The sequence below is a fragment of the Homo sapiens genome, chromosome 2, assembly GCF_000001405.40.
Source record: "Homo sapiens chromosome 2, GRCh38.p14 Primary Assembly".
Classification (NCBI taxonomy): Eukaryota; Metazoa; Chordata; class Mammalia; order Primates; family Hominidae; genus Homo; species Homo sapiens.
In genome coordinates, this window is record NC_000002.12 from 229,845,249 (window position 1) to 229,870,863 (window position 25,615).

At 37.9% G+C, this 25,615-nt stretch overlaps 1 protein-coding gene across 61 annotated transcripts in view, besides 2 other annotated features; it reads right to left on the bottom strand.

Annotated features, from left to right (window-relative positions):
* TRIP12 (thyroid hormone receptor interactor 12) overlaps positions 1-25,615 on the bottom strand; it is a 159,350-nt gene that overhangs the window by 81,412 nt on the left and 52,323 nt on the right. For 26 of the 61 annotated variants that reach the window (XM_017005283.3, NM_001284214.2, NM_001348319.1 and 23 more), the window contains 2 exons: positions 15,158-15,283; positions 13,524-14,326 (listed from right to left, as the gene is read on the bottom strand). The exons of 1 other annotated variant lie outside the window; for it this stretch is intronic. In XM_017005283.3, the coding sequence (XP_016860772.1) occupies positions 13,524-14,326; positions 15,158-15,283 (929 nt within the window). The remainder of the gene's footprint in view (positions 1-13,523; positions 14,327-15,157; positions 15,284-25,615) is intronic. 34 more of the 61 variants (NM_004238.3, NM_001348331.1, XM_047446381.1 and 31 more) reach the window with 3 other exon arrangements.
* Positions 4,908-5,587: an enhancer, noted in NCBI's record as "H3K27ac-H3K4me1 hESC enhancer chr2:230714872-230715551 (GRCh37/hg19 assembly coordinates)". NCBI's record gives its function as "activates a minimal SCP1, AML or CMV promoter by ChIP-STARR-seq in naive H9 embryonic stem cells {active_cell/tissue: H9 hESC(naive)}" and the evidence as "EXISTENCE:reporter gene assay evidence [ECO:0000049][PMID:30033119]".
* Positions 5,588-6,266: an enhancer, noted in NCBI's record as "H3K27ac-H3K4me1 hESC enhancer chr2:230715552-230716230 (GRCh37/hg19 assembly coordinates)". NCBI's record gives its function as "activates a minimal SCP1, AML or CMV promoter by ChIP-STARR-seq in primed H9 embryonic stem cells {active_cell/tissue: H9 hESC(primed)}" and the evidence as "EXISTENCE:reporter gene assay evidence [ECO:0000049][PMID:30033119]".

Sequence of the window (25,615 nt, forward strand, 5' to 3'; positions counted from 1 at the left end):
GTATTTCCATTTAATTTTGGTTGAATATCCACCATTAATCCCAAAATTCAGACCGTAAGTCATTATTAGAATTTTTAGTCTAGAGCAGGTGTTGACAAACGGCAGCCTGTGGAACAAATTTGACTGGCAACCTGAGCCTCTCAAGCTATGAATGGTTTATACATTCCAGAAAGTCATAATAAATGAAGAAGAATATGTGGCAAAGATTGTATGTGGTCAGCAAGGCCTAAAATATTTACTATATGGCCATTTGCAGAAAATGGTTACTGACCCAGACTTTGAGGGGGAAAAAAAACCACGTAAGAATTCATCCAAATTTCAAAAACTAGTTAAAACTCTCCAAAACAAAAGAAATAAAGCCTCTTTTATATTTTAAAAGAATACAGTATACAAATTAATATCTTAAGGGTAGATATCAAAAAAATTGCTACAAGTCATTTACATTTATAGGCATATCAGGGGATGACTATGATGATCTTTAAAACACAAACGCCTGGCCAGGTGTAGTGGCTCACATCTGTAAGCCCAGCAGTTCAGAATGCAGAGGCAGGAGGATTGCTGGAGGCCAGGAGTTTGAGACCAGCCTGGGCAACATAGTTTCTACAAAAAATTACGAAGAAAAAAAAAAATTAGCTGGGTGCGGTGACACAAGCCTGTAGTCCCAGATGCTCAGAAAGCTGAGGAAGGAGGATTACTTGAGCAGTGAGCTATGATCACACCACTGCGTTCCAGCCTGGGTGACAGATCGAGAGCCTCTCTTTTTTTCAAAAAAAAAAAAAAAAAGGTGGGGGGGGCAGGTAGTTTTTGTCTTGAGATGGAATTTATTCATGGAAAGATGCTGTAGACATCACTGAAATGACAAGAAAGGATTTAAAATATACATAAACTTAGTGATAAAGCAGCAGCAGCAGGGTTGGAAAAAAATTGACTCCAATTCTCAAAGAAGTTCTACTATAGATAAAATGCTATCAAACAGCATCGCATGCTATATTGAAATCTTTCGTGGAAGCAAAAGTCAATCAACGCTGCAAACTTTATCGTTTTGAAACTTCCACAATCACACCAACCTTCAGCAACCACCACCCTGATCAGTCAACATCTATCAACACTGAGGCAAGATCATCCACCAGCAAAAAGATTATGACTTGCTAAGGCTCAGATGATCATTAGCAATTTTTAGCAATAAAATATTTTTAACTAAGCCATGTACATTGTTTTTTTAGACACAATGCTATTTATTGCATGCTTACTAGATTACAGTATAGTGTAAGTACAACTTTTATGTGCACTGGGAAACAAAAAAATTCATGGAACTCACTTTACTGTGATTTTAATTTTCTTGTGGTGGCTGGGAACTGAGTGCATTAACATCTCCAAGGTATGCCCGTGTAACTATATTAATGGTTACTTTGGTAAAAATAAATTTAAAAAAATGAAAAGTAATCTATGAGGTTATAAAAAGGAATCACAGACTTTTATTTTAAAATAACTCAGTAATAATAAGACAGATTTTGCAGATAATGAGCTAAATCCCAAATGCAATTTTTAAAGCAAATTTTTATTTCCTAGTCAATGCACAGCATTTCATGCACTGATTTGTCAATATGAATTACAAATATTGGAAATGTCCAAAGGTATTCATCTAAGCAGTATTTATAATGAGGAGAAACTAGAAAGGAGCTAGATGCCCAATAACAGGGAATAGTTAAATAAAACAGTATGGTAATTAAAGTTGCAAGAAAACAGTTATTATTTAATAAGGATTTGAACATGTTGGCACTTTTACACAGCTGGTGGGAATTCATGTATTTCTAAGTGCAGTTTCAAAATATATGTCAATATCTAAAAAGAATATAACCAGTGACTTAACAAGGAAAGAGTGGTGTAAATTACAAAGCTATACTTAATTAGGGTACATCCATATCTAGCCATTACGAATGATGTAATTTATAGTTATTTGAAAGGAAACCACTCTATTACAAAGTGTTTAGACAAATAATGCACTTTTGTTTCTCCACAACTATTACCTTGCTCTGTCATTCTGAAGATGAAATTTAACGGACATCAAATGTCTATTTCAGAGCCTGGCCACATAACAGGCACTCAAAAAGTAATGCCCACTGTCATGTACAGCGAGATCATACTTTTGCATATGCCTAGCGAAGTGTCTCCCTTCTGGGTAAAGACAGAAGACTTAACACACATGCACTCACTTCTGTCTCCACATGAAATGCCACTAATACAGCATTAAAACAATCTGAGACATAAATCTACAAGGATGAGAAGAATGGAAGACACTATTGTTACAATACAATTTTAGGAGATGAAAACCAGAAATGCCGGGGCTAAATGCACTGGGAAGTCCAGAAAGCTGAAAGTAGAAAGCTGAGATTAACTACCAATCAAACTGACACCAGAGAAACCCAAAAAGGCTCAGGATCTGATGATGCCAGATACCTCTAGGGCAGTGTTGGGATTAAAACTGAAGATTGGCTGATAGGCTGTTTACAAGGCATCAGATCCTCAGATCCTCTCCCACACTTGTACAGCTGGGTAACCATTCCTCTCCTGGTTCCAGCAAAAAACAAGACCTTTATTCTTTAGGAAGTATAGAATATAGAAATTCCTGACTAAAGTACACAGTACAAATAGGTTCACTACACCAAAAATAAGAGGGAGAGAAGGGAATCGAGTACAGACATACTGTCTGACAATATACATTATCCTGCCTCCATCTGTGGCCTCTTCTCCCACTTGGCCCCCAGAACTCAGGCACTTAGGGCTTCACCTTGAGGCAGAAGTTTGAAACAATCTTCTCTGTGGAATTTTACCAGCTAAAGAAAAAAAGATCTAAAAATAATGATAAGAGGAAGTTTACAACAAAATGACCCAACCAGATCACTAAACAATGAATCTCGGTCAAACCTCCCTTATGTACTCAGAGCTTATAAATTAGACTTTTGGTCTTGAATTACACTTGAGTATGAGGAGACAACCAGGAATTACCAGAATTACCAGAATATGAGGAAAGTTCCTAACATGAAAGACAAAACCAATCCAAAATGCAGGCCCCCCCCGCCCCCCCCACACACACAAATACTTGAGATTACACAGGCAAAGAAAACTCACCATTAATGTCATCAAAAAAGAAATGCAACCATAAACCAAACGCATGATTCTATAAACAAGAAAATGAAAACAAAATCACCTCTTGGAAATAAAACATGGCAAACATGGGGGAAAAAAAGCATTTCAAGAGAAAAGTTGGAAGATGTAGAAATCTACCAGAAACAGAACGAAAAAGGAAAGCAATGTCAAACAGTAAGATCAAGACCATTTAAGAGGACAAGCACTCAATAGAAAATCAAGAAAGAGAAAACAAACAAGTACACGGTGACCAACAGTCCCAGTTTGCCTAGGACTATGCTGGTTTTAGAGCTGTAAGTCCTGAGTCTTCAGAATGCCCCAGATCCAGAGAAAGCAAAACCAGTTGGTCACCCTATCAAGGAATAAATCAGAACTAGGAATGGTGCCAGTATTGAAAGACAGAATACACTATATAATTCTTGAAAATTCTGAAGGAAAGTAATTCCCAACCCAGAACTCTATATTCACCAATCTGGCAAATAAATATCAGGGTGGTATAACATTTTCAGACATCTAAATTTTGAAAAAATAAATTGTAAATTATTAAAATCTCATACTTTTCCTTAGAGTCAAGAAGAAATATTCCACCAAAACAAGAAACCAAGATGACATGAAATCTAGAAAAGGGAAACTAAGAAGACTGAAGAAAATCCCAAGGCTGAAGCCGTATAACCAGGCATAATGAACAACCATCCAGAGGCCTCATTTCTTCAAGATGAAACAAATGCATGCAGACAGCTTGAGAAAAGATTGTGACAATTAGTAAGGAATGTGGAGTTTGAGTAAGTTCATGGGAAAGTAAGGAAAACAACAACAAAAAGGAATTTAAAATTCAGGAAAAGCAAAAATGTGTGAGAAAGGAAATGTTCCTTTACGTGGCTCAGTGTAAATAACATTTAGATGTTCACGATACAATAAACCCTGCGTGCTGATCATCACTGGGAAGACAGGAAGTATGTAACAGTATGTGTTTGGTAGGTGAATGGGGTGGGGTAAGGTTAGAATGCAAAATCTTCATTTTCCCTAAGGGGAACACAACAGGGATCAAACACTTGGGGGTGGGGGAGAAGAATCAACAAAGGGACATATAAAAGCACATAATCTAGACACTGAAACTTCAAAATAATCAGCCACAGAAAAGGGCAAAGTGGCAGAAAGACTGCTTTAAAAAAAAATAATAGATCTGGCCAGGCATAGTGGCTCATGCCTATAATCCAAGCACTTTCGGAGGCCTAGATAGGAGGATCGCTTGAGTCCAGGAGTTTGAGACGAACCTAGGCAACATAGTGAGACCTCATCTCTACAAAAAAAAAATCTTTCTAAAAAAATTAGCTGGGTATGGTGGCATGTGCCTGTGGTCCCAGCTACCCGGGATGCTGAGGTGGGAACACTGTTTGAATCTTTTGAGATCAAGGCTGCAGTAAGCTATGATTATCTTCTTGAAGAAGAAGAAAAAAAAGGTCTTATATAACTCTTTCACTTAACACTGCACATAAGTGTTGATAAATATAAAGTGAAAATTTTTGGCATAATACACACCAAAAAAAAAAAAAGAGGTAGCCCTTGGTGAATGAAATTAAAAGTGATTTTGTATTTTTCTTCTTTGTATATTTTGGTACTTTCTGGATTACTTTTAACAAACATATATCAGAATCAGAAGTGTCAAAACCATTCCAGAATACACGTAAGAATATAAAGGGCAATTACTAATGTAAATTGAGTAAAACATAATTTGGCTAATTTAATTCTTATTTTGACCTTGCATACAAAACAATATATAACATGGCCATTTATAATTTCCAAACAATGTAATACAAAGCAAAGCCTTGTTAACAAAGAAGTCAATGCTGTATTTACAATTAAATGATCTCTTTTTTAAATTTGGCCACTTCTGTTTAAAGTTTTTTTAAAGCCTCAAAAACACTAGGATTATTTGTTAGTAATTTTTCAAAGCGGTCACATATTGGAACTTCTAAACTTTTAAGTTGCTAAATTACTTTAATAGCTGCCTTGTAATATAGAAAACTGACACTCAACCCATTTCCTTTTAAGCTCCCTGCCCAACTCTTCACAGAGCTCACAGATTATCTACCTTTTTCACGCAAGTAGAGATGATCCTGCAAGATGCAAGTTGGTGAAACTGAAAGGTGACAGCGTGTGGCAGTCCTCACAGCCCTCGCTCGCTCTCGGCGCCTCCTCTGCCTGGCCTCCAACTTTGGCGGCACCTGAGGAGCCCTTCAGCCCACCGCTGCAATGTGGGAGCCCCTTTCTGGGCTGGCCAAGGCCAGAGCCCACTCCCTCAGCTTGCAGGGAGGTGTGGAGGGAGAGGCGCGAGTGGGAACGGGGGCTGCACCCGGCGCTTGCGGGCCAGCTGGAGTTCCGGGTGGGTGTGGGCTTGGCGGGCCCCACACTCGGAGGAGCAGCCGGCCCTGCCGGCCCCAGGCAATGAGGGGCTCAGCACCCGGGCCAGCGGCTGCGGAGAGTGTACTGGGTCCCCCAGCAGTGCCAGACCACCGGCGCTGCACTCGATTTCTCGCCGGGCCTTAGCTGCCTTCCCGCAGCGCAGGCCTCGGGAGAGCAGCCCACCATGGCTGAGCCTTCCCCCACCTCCGTGGGCTCCTGTGCAGCCCAAGCCTCCCCGACGAGCGCCGCCCCCTGCTCCAGGGCACCCAGTACCATCGATCACCCAAGGGCTGAGGAGTCCGAGCACATGGCGCGGGACCGGCAGGCAGCTCCACGTGCAGCCCCGGTGCAGGATCCACTGGGTGAAGCCAGCTAGGCTCCTGAGTCTGGTGGGGACGTGGAGAACCTTTATGTCTAGCTCAGGGATTGTAAATCGGCACTCTGTATCTAGCTCAAGGTTTGTAAACACACCAATCCGCACCCTGTGTCTAGCTCAGGGTTTGTGAATGCACCAATCGACACTCTCTAGCTACTCTGGTGGAGCCTTGGAGAACCTTTGTGTCAACACTCTGTATCTAGCTAATCTGGTGGGGACATGGAGAACCTTTAGTGTCTAGCTCAGGGATTGTAAATGCACCAATTAGCACCCTCTCAAAACAGACCACTCGGCTCTACCAATCAGCAGGATGTGGGTGGGGCCAGATAAGAGAATAAAAGCAGGCTGCCCGAGCCAGCAGTGGCAACCCGCTCGGGTCCCCTTCCACACTGGAAGCTTTGTTCTTTCACTCTTTGCAATAAATCTTGCTACTGCTCACTCTTTGGGTCCACACTGCTTTTATGAGCTATAACACTCACCGCGAAGATCTGCAGCTTCACTCCTGAAGCCAGCAAGACCATGAGCCCACCGGGAGGAAGGAACAACTCCAGACGTGCTGCCTTAAGAACTGTAACACTCACCGCGCAGCTTCACTCCTGAGCCAGCGAGACCATGAACCCACCAGAAGGAAGAAACTCCAAACACATCCGAACATCAGAAGGAACAAACTCCAGACGCGCCACCTTAAGAGCTGTAACACTCACCATGAGGGTCCGCGGCTTCATTCTTGAAGTCAGTGAGACCAAGAATCCACCAATTCCGGACACAAAACCATGTATCTAACTTAAATTCATCTCTCCTGCTTAACTCATTCTTATTTCCTCCCTCCGTGCTAGGGGCCCAAAGCACTAAGTCTTCCTAATCTAATCAGAATCTCTTTTCTAGAATTTGGCTTTTGCCTGGTTCTTGTCTAGGTCTGATAAAAACCACAGGCTACATGCAAAGTCACCAGGAGAATATGAAACTCAAGACAAAAGTAAGCTGTTAACTACTGCTATGTTACTAATAACGTGCACATGATGTCCACTTTAAATAATAGAGAGTAAAGTAGATCTTCAATAGAACATCTGCCTGGAAATATAACTTAAGTTTTTCTATAAACAGGTTCCATAATTACTCAGATTTTGATCACCAATTGTTTCTTATAATTCTATACCATCATCATCTACTCACTTTGAAATTATTGCAAATTTTTTTTTAAATTAGCTTTTATAAGAAGGTAGATTAGCAAAATATATTTTGAAGCCAAACTATTATAAAATTATTTAAAGTATATTAAAATATAAAAAGATTTTTGAAGCCATCTATATCATTATATTACCCTACTGGTTTTATATTTATGCTGTATAAAATTTGCAAAAATGTCTACTTACTTAGGCTAAACAAGAGACAGCTATAACTTCCTAATGTACATTAAAAATTGTTACATAACAATTTTCTTTCTGGGGTACTCAGGAGACTTTTACCAAGTAACACAGAATGACCTTTGTCTCAGAGCTGTTTTGATGAGATACAGCTGGCAAGCAGCAATGCTTCAGGAAGTCTATCACTAAAGTAGCGGTTTCACTAGATCTTCTGCCAGCCCTAGTGCCTCGCCGGGAACTTGTTCATTGGTCTATCAACAATTGACTAAGCAGCACAATAACAAGGTCTTCCTGTTTAAGCTTCCTCACTAAATGTATTATATCATTTCCTGAGTGTATTCCATGAACCACTACTGGTTCCCAAGTAATAGCTGGTCAAATTAATTTGCAAATTATTGGGTTAAGAAGTTACTGCAAGTCTTCCCACAGCTTTCAATATATTCCTGCTTATCTAGAATCTCCTTGAATAATACTTGAACATGGAGAATGGTTTTTCATAAAGCATCTTAAAAATACTGTTGTTCCTACAATTTTTAAAACATTTCCTTTACTATGAAAGCTCTCCTACTGACCAATTATGTCTTAGAATAAGTCTTTACCTAAGGAAACACATCACATTCAAATAGGTTCAATTCTTAAAAACTGGAAGAAAACAAAGGATATCCAAAATAAAATAAAAAACCTACCCAATGTGAAATTTCTCACAATGGCCTACTCTATTTTTAATATAATTTTTAGATTTTTATTCTACTAAGATTTGTATTAATCAGAAGCCCATCTCTCAACTTTCATCCACCCACTGAATCTAATTCTGGCCTCTGAATTAACGTTAAAACAAAAAACCCTGATGCATACAAAAGCCCTTTAAATACATGACCTGGCTGGGCGAGGCGGGCAGATCACCTGAGGTCAGGAGTTCGAGACCAGCCTGGCCAACATGGCAAAACCGCATCTCTACTAAAAATACAAAAATTAGCCAGGTGTGGTGGCACCTGTGAATCCCAGCTACTTGGGAGGCTGAGACACGAGAATCACTTGAATCCAGGAGGGGGAGGATGCAGTGAGCAGAGATCACACCACTGCACTCCAGACTGGGCGACAAGAATGAGACTCTGACTCCAAAAATAAATAAATAAATAAAATACATACATACATACATACATACATGACCATAACTCTCAATTCAACATTACATGGTACATTACAATATGTTGCTGCATTCTATGGCACTTCATATGTGAAAACAACTTTGAAAATCTTTCATTTATGCTTCACAAGGAGGAATCTTATTATTTTGCAAATAAGATTAGTAATAGGGTTGGTATCATAACTACAGCTGAATGATTTGCCCAACCTCGCCAAACTATGAGGAGATAATATTTTTTAAAGCAATGTACATGTATTAATATTGACATTTTTGTTTTCATTTATGTTGATGTATCCATTTATATAGGTTACATGTTTACATATAAAATTATGCAATTTTATTTGTATATATATTCCTAGTTTTGACTTTCTTGTGTAAATTTAAGGGGTGCAAGTGCAGTTTTGTTATATGGATATATTGCTTAGTGGCAAAGTCTGGGCTTTCGGTATTAGCCATCATCCAAATAATGTATATTACAGCCATGAGGTAATTTATCATCCTTCATCTCCTTCTCAGTCTCCAATGTTTATTACTCCACACTCTATGTCCACGTGTATACATTATTTAGTTCCAACTTACAAATGACAACATGTAGTATTTGATTTTTAGGAAATAAAAAAACTTTAAATCTGGTGTTCCAAATCTAATAGCTACCTTAAAATTGACCAATGGCCAGGACTTACTGATCCCCCATTCTCAAAATGCTCCTTTGAATATGTTTTCTGCCTTAAGATATTCACTTTCAGTTGTACACCCTAAATTTTGTGATGCCTCCTGTGTACTAAGCACTATGCTAAGTCTTCTAATGTTTTCATTTATTCCTCAAATAGCTATTATGCCCATTTTACGGAGAACAAGTTACAAACATTCCCCACAGTTACCAACTGAAAAAATGGCAGAACTAAGATTTGAATCCAACATTTTTGGCTCTACTCCTCAAAATATCATTACCTGAACCCAGAGACAATCATAAAATACCACATTTTGCCCCTATATCCTTAAGAAACATTACCTGCCAATTAATTCTATTGTAAACTATTTTCTGAAGTGACACATTTAATCATGCCTAAAATGCACAATGCCTTGTTTTGACTTCAAGAAACCTACCCAGACTGAGCTTGCCCTATCTGTTCACCCCTATCATTCTGTCCTCAAGGCCAATTTCTGAGATCAACTGGCCTGGGTTTTAACTCGGCTTTGTCACTTCTTAGTTCTGTGACCTTAGACAGGTAACTTTACTAATGATCCAAAGCTTCCTAACCGGTAAACTGGGAATAAAAATACTTGCCACACAAAGGCTAGGCACAGTAGCTTATGCCTGTAATCCCAGCATTCTGGGAGGCCGCGGGGGATGGATCACTTGAGGTCAGGCATTCAAGACCAGCCTGGCCAACATGGTGAAACCCCATCTCTATACTAAAATCACAAAAAATTAGCCGGGCATGGTGGCGCGTGCCTATAATCCCAGTTACTTGGGAGGCTGAGATAGGAGAATCACTTGAACCCAGCAGGCAGAGACTGCAGTAAGCTGAGATCATGCCACTGCATTCCAGCCTGCGCAACACAGGAAGACTCCATCTTAAAACAAACAAACAAAAACAAAAAACAACAACTTGCTATACAAGACCGATGAGGAACAAATAAGATGACTCATGTAAGGTATTCAGAACTGTCAGGCACTTAAAAGCACAGTAAATACATGCTACTTTGTTTTGAAATGTTTTCATTTATTTGAAAAACAGCAAATATATGGTGAATGATATGGTATGAATCCTTGGGTCCACATAGTATTCATCTCTAAATTTAATCAATACTATCAATGAAGGACCAAATAACATTTCATTTTCTCTAGAGTCTTAGTATCTCCAAATGGCCCAATTATGTTACAACAGTAAAACACAGAAACTAACAAGGGTTTAAAAAAAAAAAAAAAAAAAAAGAGAAAAGAAAATGCTTCATTCAAGGTCACACCTACTACCCCCATCTTCAAATCCTAACTCTGCCAAGTATGAGGTATATTACTCAGAGAAGTTATTTCATCTCCTTGGAATACATTTCCTTGATAACTATCCTAGGCTGGGCATGGTGGCTCAGGCCTGTAATCCCAGCACTTTGGAAGGCTGAGGCGGGCAGATCACCTGAAGTCGGGAGTTCGAGACCAGCCTGGTCAATATGGCGAAACCCTGTCTCTTAAATACAAAAATTAGCCAAGCATGGTGGCATGCGCCTGTAATCCCAGCTACTTGGGAGGCTGAGGCACGAGAATTGCCCGAACCTGGGAGGTAGAGGTTGCGGTGAGCCAACTGCGCCACTACACACACTCCAGCCTGGGTAATACAGCAAGACTCTGTCTCAGAAAAAAAAAAAAAAAAGTGTATCCTAAAGCACCATTTTTTTTAAAAGAATATGTAACTGCATATGTAAAATACCTGGTACTTATTTTATGCTACACAAACGCTGGTTCCATTCTCTTGTTTCAACAGCTTAGGCTACGATGAGAGATCAGAACTGGGATAGTGGCAGTGAAAACGGAAAAGTGATTTAATAGTGACAACAGAACACAGATACTGTGCAAGTGAATGAAATAATGGTGAAATGAGTTTTAAAATACTAAATTAGTTTGTGACTATGTGCTGAGCAGGCTTAATGGAATTATCTGGATTGGTTTTATCAAACCAGCAGCAAAATGACACTGCCAAAACTCTTGGTGTTTCCTGATTGAAACACCAAGGAGAAAATCCCACTGATTAGCCACTGGTAGAGTTGGGTTTTCTTTTAAAAATCAAGTTAACAGACTATATAAAGAAAAGAAAGCTGATCTCTACAAAGGACCAAGGCCATGACACTCAAGTACAATCTGCTATTGCCTGGCCCTAGAACCCTCCTACACATAAGAGATGAGTTCTTCAAGTGAGGCAGACTGGAAGGCAGAAGGGGAAGTGAATCCTAAGCAGCTTGCTGTAAACTCAACCTGGCTCACTGGCTGTGAATATTACATAGCAGGACTGACAGACACAAAACACAGGGAGGAAAGGCAGCATAAAAGCTGACATATGTAACTCCAATTATCAATAAAGCATTGGAAGGACAAATAGTTGGTTGTCCTTTTAACTTGGACCTTTTTTTCCTTCTCACTTCAAGATACTGATCTAGCCTATCTTAATCCTTTAAACTTAAAACATTTTATACAGATGTTCTGCATATTTAAAATACCAAAACAGAACAAAGTTCAATCTAAAAGTAAAATATGTTACTTCACAATAACCTATCATACAGGTTAAACATAAAATTTTTTATATAGTACCTACTATTAATAGTATTGTCATTTCAGGTAATATGTGAATCAACCAAAAGTAGTTTTAGACTGCAGTGTTAAATTAAACAGAGCTAATAGTTCTGATTCAATTTTAAGTTAGGCTGATTCAATATGAGCTATACTTTGACAAGAATGCTAGTAGACACTATATACAATCTTTTTAAACCAAGAAAACATTATAGCCCTACCCAAATGTAGATCTAAAATCCATCAGAGAAGAAAAGATGCTTAAAAGCAAGCTTCCTAATTAGGTATTATAAAATTAAAATGCTTTTAAAAATTGTAGAGATAAGTGCTTTATTATCCTATTTGTCCTTTATAGGTTTCTGAAATAGAAATAAGGAAAGAAGCCTGGGCACAGTGGCTCACACTTATAATCCCAACACTTTGGGAGGCTGGGACAGGTGGATCACTTGTCCCAGTTCAAGACCAGCCTGACCAACATGGTGAAACTCCCTCTCTACTAAAAATACAAAAATTAGCTGGGTGTGATGGCGCACACTTGTAATCTCAGCTACTCAGGAGAGGCTGAGACAGGAGAATTGCTTGAACCCAGGAGGTGGAGGTTGCAGTGAGCCAAGATCGTACCACTCACACCACTACTCCATCCTGGGCAACAGAGTGAGACTCTGTCTCAAAAAAAAAAAAGAAGGGAGGAAAGAAAAGAAAGACACTAGCATTCCCCAGATGAGCAGCTGGTTCCCTGAAGAAGTCTTTTGGTAAAGAGAGAGGGAGAAGAGTTCCTGGATATCTCCAAAACTGACTCATGAAGGAATGCACATAACGCTATGTTTCTTCCATCTACTTTCTGTTTCTTTGCTTGAATGTATTCTCAAAACACAAATTCTTTCTACTCCACTGTAAACTTTTAGAGAGCAATATTCTTACTCACTTAGGACACAGAGTAGTGTATATAAGAGTAGTGAAACATAAGTAGTATTCATCTTTAGACAAAACTCCTTAAAAGACTGTGAGATATTACATATGAAAAAGTTTAATTTACATTGAGGTATATTTATAGTAATAACTTAATTCACTGTATCTACACATCAAGAATATCTCATATAAAAAAATATATTTGGCCAGGCATGGTAGCTCACACCTGTAATCCCCACACTTTGGGAGGCCGAGGTGAGCAGATCACTTGAGGTCAGAAGTTTGAGACCAACGTGGCCAACACAGTGAAACCCCATCTCTACTAAAAACACAAAAATTACCCAGGCATGGTGTGCACACTTGTAATCCCAGTTACTCTGGAGGCCAAGGCAAGAGGATTGCTTAAGCCCAGGAGGCGGAGGTTGCAGTGAGCCGAGACTGCGCCACTGCACTCCAGCCTAGGCGACAGAGTGAGACTCCATCTAAAAAAACATATATATATTTGATCTCTGATCATGGCAACTCATAACTAAAAAGAACTCCTAACTAAATGATAATTTTGTATGTGGTATAGAAGAAAATCCAACTTTATGTCCCATCCTGATATTAGGAAATCAGTGAAGTAGGAGATGCCGCGAGGACCAATAAAGACACAGACACTAAAATGTGATGGTTTCGTAATAATAGGAAGGTAGTATTCCTTACCTGTCTCAACAAAACTAAATGTAGTAGCACTTACTACATGCTGTTATGTACTTAATTACACAGACAGTAATACATCTAAGATTATCTAAGACTGGGGGGAAAAAACCCTTAACTTTAAAGCATAATTGCTTTTGACAAACCAAGAGAAACTTTCTTTAATTAAAGAAAAATACCTTTTTGTAAACTTACTTGCTAATTTGGCCTGTAATCCAGAAGGTCCAGGTTTTGATGTCTCTGACTTAGAAGACCCTGGAAGAGACAGTTTTGTTTTAGGAAGGCTAACTTTAGGGCTGAAACGAGCAGCCCAATCAAATTTTGAAGAGCCACCAGTTTTACTCTGTTCCTTTTCCCTGCTACTTCTTCTGGGGCTGGGACTGGACGCTGAACGGGAACGCCTGGCCTTGTTCTGATCTTTTCCTTGTTTCACTCTGGCACCTGGTGGTACAGTGGAGGAGGCCGAGGCTACAGCAGAAGACGAGGAGGAAGTAGAGGCAGCAGAAGAAGAATCAGTGATGGTGCTACACCCAGCTTTGGCTGAGGTGGCTGATTTTGAAGCCAGCTTGGTAGGTTTCGCAGATCTCTCTTCTGCACCAGTTGATTCAGACCCGGAGCCACTCTTTACACAAGAACTCTCTGTCCTTTTTCTTTTCTGACTCCGTGAACCGCCAGTGGCCCCACTCTTCCTGGTATGAGCCTTGCTTGTTGATGGTGATTGTGCAGATTTCAGTTGTTGCTCCTGGTCTAAATGTCTCTTCTTTGACTTACTATGTGGCTTATTTGTTTCTGAGGGAGATTCAGTATGCTGAAGTGCTTTTGGTTTTTTTGCAGAGCTAGGAGAATTGGTCCTGTTGTAGTCTGGACTAGCACTGCGCTTCACTCCTCGAGAATTGTCTTTCTTAGGCACCTGCCCCGTTTTTTGTCTTTCTGAAGTATTGGCTCTGTCTGGATCCTCTGGTTGTGGAACTATCACAGCAGATGATGAACTGCAGCTTCTAAGAGGTTAGATAAGAAAACAGTTAATATCAGCCTGTCATAATTACAACTGTCATATATAATGCTTTCAAAAAATAAAGTATGAATATGTTCCTACTAAGTCCAGTATTAAACATAGGTTTTCAGAAGGTTCAAATCTGTAAAACGAAATAAAAGAACAAAACAAAAGCAGATGTGACTTTGGATACTAAAATATCTGATTAAAAGATAAGGGTGTTCTTTAGCCCAAAGATTACTGACACTAACACTCGTAATCACAAAACAAGAATTAAGATTACAAGAAAAACAACACTTAATTGTTCGGAACCAGAGGAAGCCAGAATATTGATGCCCTATTCACAAGCACAACTGCTTTGTCAAAGCTTAGAAGAAATAAGCATTAACATACGCACTTTCAAAATGAAGGTTAGAGATTTTTATATTGTAGTACTATCAAATCTTCAAAGTTAACATTGCTTTCCAAAGTCTCTTAACAATTAAATCTTAAGAATCACTGACTTAAACCTAAACTATGGCTCTGACAATAAAAACTAAAAAAAAGATTAAAAAATAAAAAGAAATAAAAAATGGCCATAATGGTTTGTTAAGCAAAGGGGGAATCTTACGGCTCTCCAAACAAAAATATCATTTTATCATTGACAAACTCACTGTCTAGGGTATACTGCACTAATCACTGCAAAGGTGATAAACTGTCAATCCTAAAAGTTACTTAGAGAATAATGAAAATATGTATCAAAACGTTTTGGAATAACCTCAAGTTTTAACATTATGCAATGATTTGAATGCAAATAATTCTGCCTTGAAAATGTATAAGCAACATGAAGATTTACCTTTTAGAAAGGTGTCCCCTTGACAGTTCAGAAGTAGTATTAGACTGCACTTTGGGTGCCTTAGAATTAGATTTTCTACTCTCAGGAGGGCTATATCCCTTATGTTTTGCCTGCCCTAAATGTGACCTGTCAGCAGAAAATCAAAACAGAAATCTATCAGGAAACTGAGATGCAAATACAATACTGAAAATGAAATATTTTTATATATTTCTTAAAGCTTCCCACAATTCATTGTTGACCCTACCCTTTTTCCAAATATTTATAAATTTTAATTATTATTCTACTAAATAATCTGGCAAAAAGAAATTGCCTCTCAGAACCACCCCCGCCCCGCAATACCGAAGAGTTTATTATCACCAGTAGTCATAATTGCACAGCGTTGTTAAGGTTGCTTAAGCAGTAACACATTTTTCAGCAATTTTAGTGCAGATATTCAAATATGCTACATTTTAACAAAAAGCAAATTTAGACTTTAGATCTAAACACACTTTTAATACATAATGTGACTGTAATGGCTTTAAAAGTTTACGGAAAAGACAATTGATGATTCCCACACTGATACCGATTTCCAATTTGTACTTAAAATTCAGGTAAACACAGCAAATGCAGAGACAGACGAACCAATTCTCAAACTGATTTTACACAGAAAATCATTTCAAGCACTAAACAATAAATAAACCTACATGAAATCAACATAGTGATACTTGCTAAAACTTTAAAGTACTTGTCAACAGAAAGAACACAAAAAAGTCCTGGAGAAATATGGAATTTACCACAAAAGTTCCAAAAAACATTCAAATAATTCCATGATTGATATGGTGCATCATATTTACAATAAATCAAATCCTTATGCCAGCACTATTCTAAAAGCAAGTTTGAGGAACATGAAAAAACTGTTTTCAGTTAGATTATTTTTTAGACCTTGGGGAATGGTTACATGAGATTTACATAAGCAATAAAAAACAAACACATGTTGATATCCAGAAAACTGCTGCCATTCGGGTGAGATATTAATGTAACAAATGCAATTTATGTAATTCATAGCTGATATCCACTTTCCACATAAGAGCATATACCAATGAAAATCTAGAAAAAAGTTTCATTAATACCAAATTTACTTGTTAAAAAAAAGTTTAAGGCTTTTATTCCAAACACCATCTCAAAAGAACTTAGAAATGAGTCACTGAAAATCTCACAAAATAATTCTAACTCAATCTGTAAGGATGCCATAAATTTCTTAAGATATCATACAAGTACAACCATCTGTTCCAAAAGAGGACCTAAGGTTTCTCTTTTCTGTATCACTTCTTCTTCCATCTTTCCAGAATTCATGAAAAGAGTCTTAAAAGAAGGTAAGAAATTAGCTTCTTAAGAAAGGAAATAGTTCCTGGATCCCTCATATCATTTTTGTTTTTAAGGTTCTAATCTGAAAGTAATAATATGTTCTAAAGACTTATTAGAATAGATGAATTTCTTAAAAAAAAATAACAAAAAAACAAAACTCTAGGTGAGCCTTTCAAGTGTTATTAGTCTTCACTTTTAGTAATGAAAGGACACATATACTTCAAGAAGCATATTTTCTAAAGTTGTAGCTAAGCTGAACTTTGTAAGATTTTTTATACATTGTGTTTTTGTTGTTGTTGTTGTTATTTTTTATTTTTTGGTGTTTCAGACAGGGTTTTGCTCTATCGCCCAGGCTGGAGTGCAGCGACACTATCTCGGCTCACTGCAACCTCCGCCTCCCAGGATCATGTGATTTTCCTGCCTTGTATATATTGTGATTTAATTTTAATTTTTCCTAGATATTCTCCCATTGCAGACTAAAATTTTGCTTTAACCAATGAGTTTATTAGAGATTTAATTTCTAAGAGTTGCTTTTGTTTTTGTTATATTTCTACTAACAGATCTCAGAGTTCAACTCTTTTTTCTTCAGAAATGAGACTATTTTTCAAATCATTCCATAGTTATTCTAAAAAAGAGGTGTAACGTTCTGTTTTTGGGGTGTGGAATTTAACAGCTACAGGAAATATAAATTATGTCATTCAGGTCCTCTACATTCTTATTTTCTTAAAGATCGTTGCAGACTGATGTTTTAATTAAATCACGTTTTCTACTTTATTTCATTTTAAAATTTAAAATATAGCTTGTTGCATTCCTTGATAATTAAACAACTCATTCTGAAAGAAAACTACATACATTCAAAGCTAGACAACTTTGTGAAAAATAAATGCCCAAAACAATTAAAAATTATGATTCATTCCATTTGTCATCAGAAACCGGCCCATATGAAACTAAAGGTGAGGTCTGGGGCAGCAGCCCTCCTCTTTTTAACTCAAATAAATTGTTCTGTTGACTTTTATATAGCTTATGTTAGATCCACCTAATTCTACTCCTGTGTTATTTCTCATGCCCTTACTAATACCTTCAATGAACTTAAGAACTTAGCATGTAAACTCTCTATATTATACCACAAAAAGTAAACAGTATTCAAATCATTTAGAAAACCAAGGCTCACAAAACTGGCTTAAATTCAGCAATGCCCAGCAGGGCACGGTGGCTCATGCCTGTAATCCCAGCACTTTGGGAGACAGAGGCGGATGTGTCATGAGGTCAGGAGTTCAAGACCAGCCTGGCCAAGATGGTGAAACCCCGTCTCTAATAAAAACTACAAAAATGAGCCGGGCATGGTGGCGCACACCTGTAGTCTCAGCTACTTGGGAGGCTGAGGCAGAAGAATTGCTTGAACCCAGGAGGCGGAGGTTGCAGTGAGCCGCGATCGTGTCACTGTACTCCAGCCTGGGTGACAGGGCGAGACTCCATCTCGAAAAAAAAAAAAGAAAGAAAGAAAAAAAAAAAATCAACAATGCCCACACTGATCTTACCTAAAATTATTTTAAAGTGTGATATTCTAAGGACTGTTTAAAAAATATATTTTAAAAATATAAAATATTGATACTTAACTGTCCCTTCTGCCTATCTGTTTAGCCCATGGGACTTAATACATTTTCCATAAAGGAGAGTAAATATTTTCAGCTTCCTGGGCAATACTGTATGTCAAAAAAACAGGTACAGAAAATTCTCAAACAAACGAGCATGGTGGCTATACTTCAATCAAAATTTTATTTACAAAAACAGGCAGTGAGCCAGATTCAGCCCATGCGCTATAGTTTTCAACCCTGGCTAACAAGGAATAGACAACCAGATGGTACCATGAAGTGACAATATGGGGCCTCCCAAAATGGAGCTCTATTTTATTATGTCCACTTATAAATTATTAATGCTCAAAAATGCTGCAAAGTAAATCTCCATAAAATAATGATGTCCAATCTGGAATAGCCAATTAGAACATCACAGTATTCAGAGGTAAAGGAGCCTTGGACGCCTCCTTTTAGCTCATTTTACCACCTCTCTAATTTAGCAAGCCTTAATCCTTCAACTTTAGTTTTTATTAAAAAGCATAATCTTTTTAAAACCTAGTAAAATTTATATCCACTATAAATAAAATTTGTAGAACAGTATAGTAAAATGCATGACAAACTCTTTTAAATAGCACTAGAATGAGGTCATTTAGTAAATTATAGCCCAAAGATTTGGGTGAAAGAGAGAGAGAGAGAGAGAGAGAGAGAGAGAGAGAGAGAGAGAGTGTGTGTGTGTGTGTGTGTGTGTGTGTGTGCACGCGCACACGTGCACACATGTGTTCAGGAGCTTCTATAACAACATATGGGTATTCCTGAAAAAAAAACTCATGTCTCTGCAAAATTATCCACTAAAAATAACCGGGCTGATATGTTAAAAATAAGATGGGCCCAGAGCACACAAACCTATGTTATTTTGTAATGAGCATCCCAGCAAAATCACATCAATTTTAATAAAAAATTAAATCTCCCAATAAAATTTGCACCAATAAATCCACTTGAGACTTATTTTTGTATTTTCTCCTTTTAAGTGTAACTTTTTAAAGGCATTTTTTAAAAAGCTTCAAAAAATTAAAAATATAATTATTCTTGGGTAGACTTTCCTGTTATCTTCTTCCTTTAGAAACAAAGGAGTAAATGGTTTTGAACTTGTTGAGACTGCTTTTGACAGTACAAGGTATGGTGGTTTTAGAAACCACTGGAATAGCTATTTCTTTCACTAAATTATTTCTGCCAGATTTTCAACTTTTTTTTTTTTTTGGTGTAATGTCTTCAAATATTACCAAACCTTCCTCTTTAATTGAAAGGTCTTTCCCCATTTTCAGTTTATACATTAGCACTGTGGGAAAAACTGCTTATGAACCAACACTACTTCCACGTTATATTGACATTATTTCTCTATTTACCAAGTGTGTATGGGCCAATTCACATTAAAGAAACCAACACTGCAACAGAACAGACTATAATCAACTCTGGGTTATGTGCTTTCAAGATCATTATGTGCTTTCAAGATCATTTGGGTTATGAAGCCTCAAATGCCTCTGAGTGTTAACTTTTAGGCACATAGTATTGACTGTACCCTTCCACCTACATTTGTACTGCTATTTAGTCAAATCCTTTACAGTAGTCCACAGAATTAAAAACCATCTCTAGTCCAGAGGACATCTAAAAGAGACCTAAACTTTATATCAAGAGCACAATATTGGGCCAGGTGTGGTGGCTCATGCCTGTAATCCCAGCACTTTGGAAGGTTGAAAGCAGGTGGATTGCTTGAGCTCAGGAGTTCAAACAGACCAGCCTGGGCAACATGGTGAAACACTGTCTCCACAAAAAATACAAAAATTAGCAGGGTGTAGTGGTACACACCTGTATTCCTAGCTACTCGGGAAGCTGGGGTGGGGAAGATCACTCGAGCCTAGCAGGTCAAAGCTGCAGTGAGCTATGGTTGCACCACTGCACTCCAGCCTGGGCAATAGAGTGAGATCCTCTCTCAACTACAAAAAAAAAAAAAAAAAAAAAAAAAGAAAGAAAGAAAGCAAAATGCTGTCTCAATGTTAGGAAAAATGAGGAAAGTGGCTAGTTACAAGTAGCTAGTTAATTCCTATTATAGGTATTACACTGCCTGAATTTAATTTTTATGCTAGACATATTCACAGCTTATATGATATGCATATATATAATATACACACACATTACCACTTATATTTGGTAATATATGCATGTATTACATAATATACATGCATATATTACCAAATATAAATGGATTGTGGGTTTAATTACAACTCTAAATTTGTTTGTGTATATGTGTATACAGACACATTTTTATGCTTTTCTACTTTAAATACACAATTATAACATTATAGTTTTGTCTTCTAAAAATTAGATATTTTATTTCAAATGCTGGAAAATCCATGTTTTAAAAGAGCCATTGATTTTCAATAATTAATGGTGGAAAGTTCACTTTAAACCACTTTAAATAAGTAACTCACTAATGTTCCCTGTAAAACGCACTGTTTTTCTATTTCTATTACAAAAAGAAGCTTGATTCATCTGATCAATGTTCCTATCTTTAGTTACACTGAAACACTAGCCCAAATGATTCTATAATTTAAAGTAAAGCAGTATTTCTAAACAGCAAAAATACTGCCCCTAGGAAGCATTCTGGAAACATACACTGGGAAGCGGCAGTGCTATTCCCATTTAGCAGGTGTGGATTAGAGGTAAAGATGAGCAACATACAGAACAAAAAGACCCAACTGTCCCATGCCCCATGTATTTCAAACAGTCTTGGTAATATATGAAAACCTTATGAAAAGCCCTGACAGTGTGGCAGTGACATAGGTGAAAAACGTGCTTGCAATTTCTCAGATTTGTTTTGCACAGTTCTTACATATTAAATTTTCCAAGAATGCAACGACAAGCGATTATACTATTTTTTTGGCAGCTTTACCAAGAGTCAGGCACCGTTTTTAATGCCTATGATGAAAATGCTGCTTATGGCATTTAAGTCCATTGTTGTAACTGTCACATTCAGTGACTCCAAATACAGATGCACTATAATTTTGTGTCACTGTGTCCAAGCATTTACCTATTGAGATGTTATTTTTGTTATCAACTATTTTCCTTTTGTTTATCTTTGTAAAATGCTAAGACATTATATCAATATTTCTAAACTGTGTGTAGGCAGGTATTTTATTTCTTCATTTATTTGAAGATATTAAAAGAGCATAATAAAAATATTTATATGATATACATTATAGACAGGGAGCACTGCCTCTGATAGAGTTGAGAACCATTGTACTAAGCTACTCATTTCAAAAGATGTTAGGTTTGCCACCAACAAATATATGCAAGTCCCAACAGGGCACATAAATATAGGTAACAGTCTAGTCCCTGTCCTCAAAGAGGTCAGAGTCTCATAAAACAAAGTAATCTACCAGGTACTCTCCATAGATGTTTCCAACGAATACTTTTAGCAGGAGAATATAAGCTTTATAGGCCACACCATTTAAACCTGGCCCTGAAGGATGAAAAGCTGAGGAAAAAAAGCTTTCCAGTCAAAAGCAGAATACAGGCAAAGGCAGAGGCAGGAAATTTTAAAGCCCATACAGTAACTGGCAAATGATATAAATTGCCCTGAACATGGAGATACATCAGAAAATATGGATGAAAGGATGTTCACCACTATGCAATTCATTCATGTAACCAAAAACTACTTGTACCCTGAAAGCTACTGAAATAAGCAAAGTATATATATATACACACACACATAGAGGGTTTTTTTTTTTGTTTTTTTTTTTAAGTGTAGGCTATGGTCAGACAGGGAAGGTTTTTTTTTGTTTGTTTGTTTGTTTTTTTTTTTTGAGACAGATACTCACTCTGTCACCCAGGCTGAAGTGTAGTGGCATGATCTCAGCTCACTGCAACCTCTGCCTCCTGGGTTCAAGAGATTCTCCTGCCTCAGCCACCTGAGTAGCTAGGACTACAGGTGCCTGCCACCATGCCTGGCTAATTTTTATATTTTTAGTAAAGATGGGATTTCACTATGTTGGCCAGGCTGGTCTCGAACTTCTGACCTCAAATGATCCTCCTGCCTCAGCTTCCCAAGTTGTGGGATTACAGGTATGAGCCACTGTGCCCGGCCAAAATAAATGTCTGAAGACTTTAGAGATAGTATATGAGAAAAAGGGAGGAAAACACCACTATTAATTTTCTAAAAAGGAGCCCTCTGCCTTCTTTTTCTCTCTGTATTACAAGAAAACAGCCTTCCAAATGTGATAAAAAAGCTTGCAGTTAGTATAAGAATCATTTGTATATATATTTTTAAGTGACACTGAACACTTTTAAGAAGGCATTCCAAGACTGGGAAAGCTTTTTAAAAGTGGTTTGGAGTATCAGAAGAATGAAAGCAAATCCTCAGTGAGGGATATGAGACAATCTATGGCAGCTGACAATTTCTTATAGGTTTTCCAGTATGCTTATGATGTGACTTTGACTCAATTCCAAACTTGATTAAAATAAAGCATAGTGCAAAGGAAATTACTAATAGAAAACATATAAACTATTACTTTGTAGGCCCCCCCAAAAAATTTAACACGGGTACTACTAAGAATCAAATGTTTCTAACTTCCAACTACAGAAAAGTAGCCTCTGCTTCTCCTTAGACCAAGGCAACCATGCCATTGTTGAATACAGCACCATATTATCTTGCCTCCTGATCCCAAGGCCTGATGGGACAGACTAGTTTCAGCATTACCAATGCAGCAGGCACACAGGTCTCCACAGCTAAAACTCCAGGCTGCCTAATTAGAGCAGTAAGATTTACTATTGCTGAAAAGAGCAAGTTACAAATTACCCAGCCGATTCTAGAATACTTACTTTCATTCATTCATTCATTTATTTTTTGAGACAGGGTCTCTAGTCCAGGCTGGAGTGCAGCGGTGTAATCTTGGCTTACTGCAGCCTCAACTTCCTGAGCTCAGGTGATCCTCCCACTTCACCCTCCCAAGTAGCTGGGACTACAGACACTTACGACCACACCTGGCTAATTTACTGTATTTTTAGTAGAGACAGGGTTTCGCCATTTTGCCCAGGCTGCTCTTGAACTCCTGGGCTCAAACGATCTGCCTGCTTCAGCCTCCCAAAGTACTGACATTACAGGCATGAGACACTGCGCCCAACCAATTCTAGTATAAATACCTTTAAAAAGTGGCTCAAATTCAGTCATAAGAGGCATTAAATTATTTTTGCATCACATCATGTCTCCCCATAACATTCTCCTCCTCCCAAACAAGAAGCAGTTTGAACTTGCTTCTGACTGAACAAATGAGAGGACAAAAAAAGAGACAGGAAAGAAATAAGAATTAAAGAATATAAAAGGAAGGCACTCACACCGGTTAAACAGACGAATGAAGAAAACACACGGGACCAGTGGCTAAGTTTCACTAAGTAGGCTTTAGGGAAACAAACTATCATAGAGATGCAAATAAGAATGCAAAATAACGTATAAACATCCTATGACAGCTACATCTCAAGAATATTCTGTTTTTCCTTTTTCTAGATGCAAGGTAGGATGGTACTTGTCCAACCACTTGGAAGCACGTACTGCCATGTGACTTGCTTCAGCCAAGGGAATGTGAACAGAAGTGAATCACTGCTGGGGGAAGTTTTGGAGATTCAAGAGTACAGTTCACCATATTCTCTTACTTGACAACACAGCAAGGTATCTGAATATCTGAATGTGCAGGCATGGAGCAGAGCTTACCACTGACCTGGACAGACAACCTTTTTAGTGGCTAGATTATAACCACTAATATCTAGGAGATGTTTTTTCCTGTAGTATTATCTAACCCACCTTGCTACATAGCCCATTTTAACTATGCCCTATTTCAACCCTTCCTTACTCCAATCATGTTTTCATCATTTCAGTAAAAAAGAAAGTCACATTTCTGTGCCCAGAAATTCCAAGGAAACAAATATCCTTTTCTAACCCATACTAGTAATTGTTGAACACCTACCACTTACCAGCAAATTAACACAATACACGCAACTTCGAAATAAAACCCAGACTGTGAAAGGAATTAATGAGACCACATGTCAAAGACAAATATAGTTGACATATACCACACCTGCTTTGCAACTGTTGCTTCAGCCTCAGAGCCCAGATCAATGAGGTCATCTCTAGAAATGTTTCTCATCTGACTCTAGTAACAACCTGTATCCCCATTCCCCCTACCGAGCTGGGTTGCTTTCTGGGTTCTTTCCCTGGTAGGAAAAGAAAAACCCTACCCTACCCTCATTTCTATAACTACTATAGAGCACGGTGCTTACTAACGTGGTGTTCAACAGATGAATGAATATAATCTTATACTGATGTTGTATTAAGGCAGAACTCTAAAATGCCAAAAGAGGCATTATTAAAATAACACATGCATTATCTCCAGAATCAGAACAACAGTGGAATAATCAATCCTAGAAAAGGCTAAGAGTCAACACAACTTTAAAGAACTACTAACGAATTTAAACTTGCCAGAACGTTAGCACACACATACTCTTTGCTCTTCTCTGCCTGTCCATCTTCCTCCATAAGGCACATACACAGTAGTTGGCAACTTCAGATTCACATCTTCCCATCTTTGTCACCAGAAAGAAAAAAGCTAAATCTTCCAACTTTTCTCATCTTGATCATGTGACCACACCAGGCTTATCACTGTGCTCAGAAAGAGGGAGTACGTCGATTCCCCTAGCTTTCACCAAAGGTTAAGGAATAGCTAACAGGATCAGAGTAAAACTGTATTAGAACAGAGTAACTACCCATCAAAACGCATGGGAAGCCATTCCACAAGACTACTGTTTTAAGGAGAGGTGCCGTGCACAACAAAAACCATGAAGAACATTATTTATTGCCACCTCCATGAAAATGGTATAATCTTTTTAATAATTCAAAATGAAAGAGGGCTTGATCTAGCTTCAGAAGATGAGAGGCCTAAAAGTTAAGCCTTAAGGCACAGGGAAAGAAATAAACATGGTGTACAAAGAGATGGTGAGATCTGCCTGGATGGACATGACATGGTAGCAAGAAGCAGTAACGTAAGGACAGATGAACAGAGAGGAGGCAGCCAGACAGATACTGAGTCTGTAGTTCCCGGGGATCTCCAAAATGTTACAGTGCTTTGGGATCTGTATAAGATTTCTAAGACTGGAAAAGAGTATAAACTACATTGATGTGGAAACTTTTGAATGGATCTTGAAAGACTGGCAGAATTTCAGTAAGATAAGGTCTAGAATACAGAAGGCAAGCATTTTAAAAGGAAAATGGCATGATCAAAATTACTAAAGAAGGAAATTGCAAGGTATTTTAAGTAGTTAAGCATAGAGTAAAAACTATCAAGTTTTAGTCTCTGAAATCAGTAGATAGGAATTAAGTTTGGCATTTTATTTATTTATTTTTTTGCGGTATACTTCTTTCAAAAATCAAGAAAAGGAAAGTTAAGTTGATTGGTACACTGACAGCTTGTCCTGAGTCCTTCTTGAGTGTGGCTTC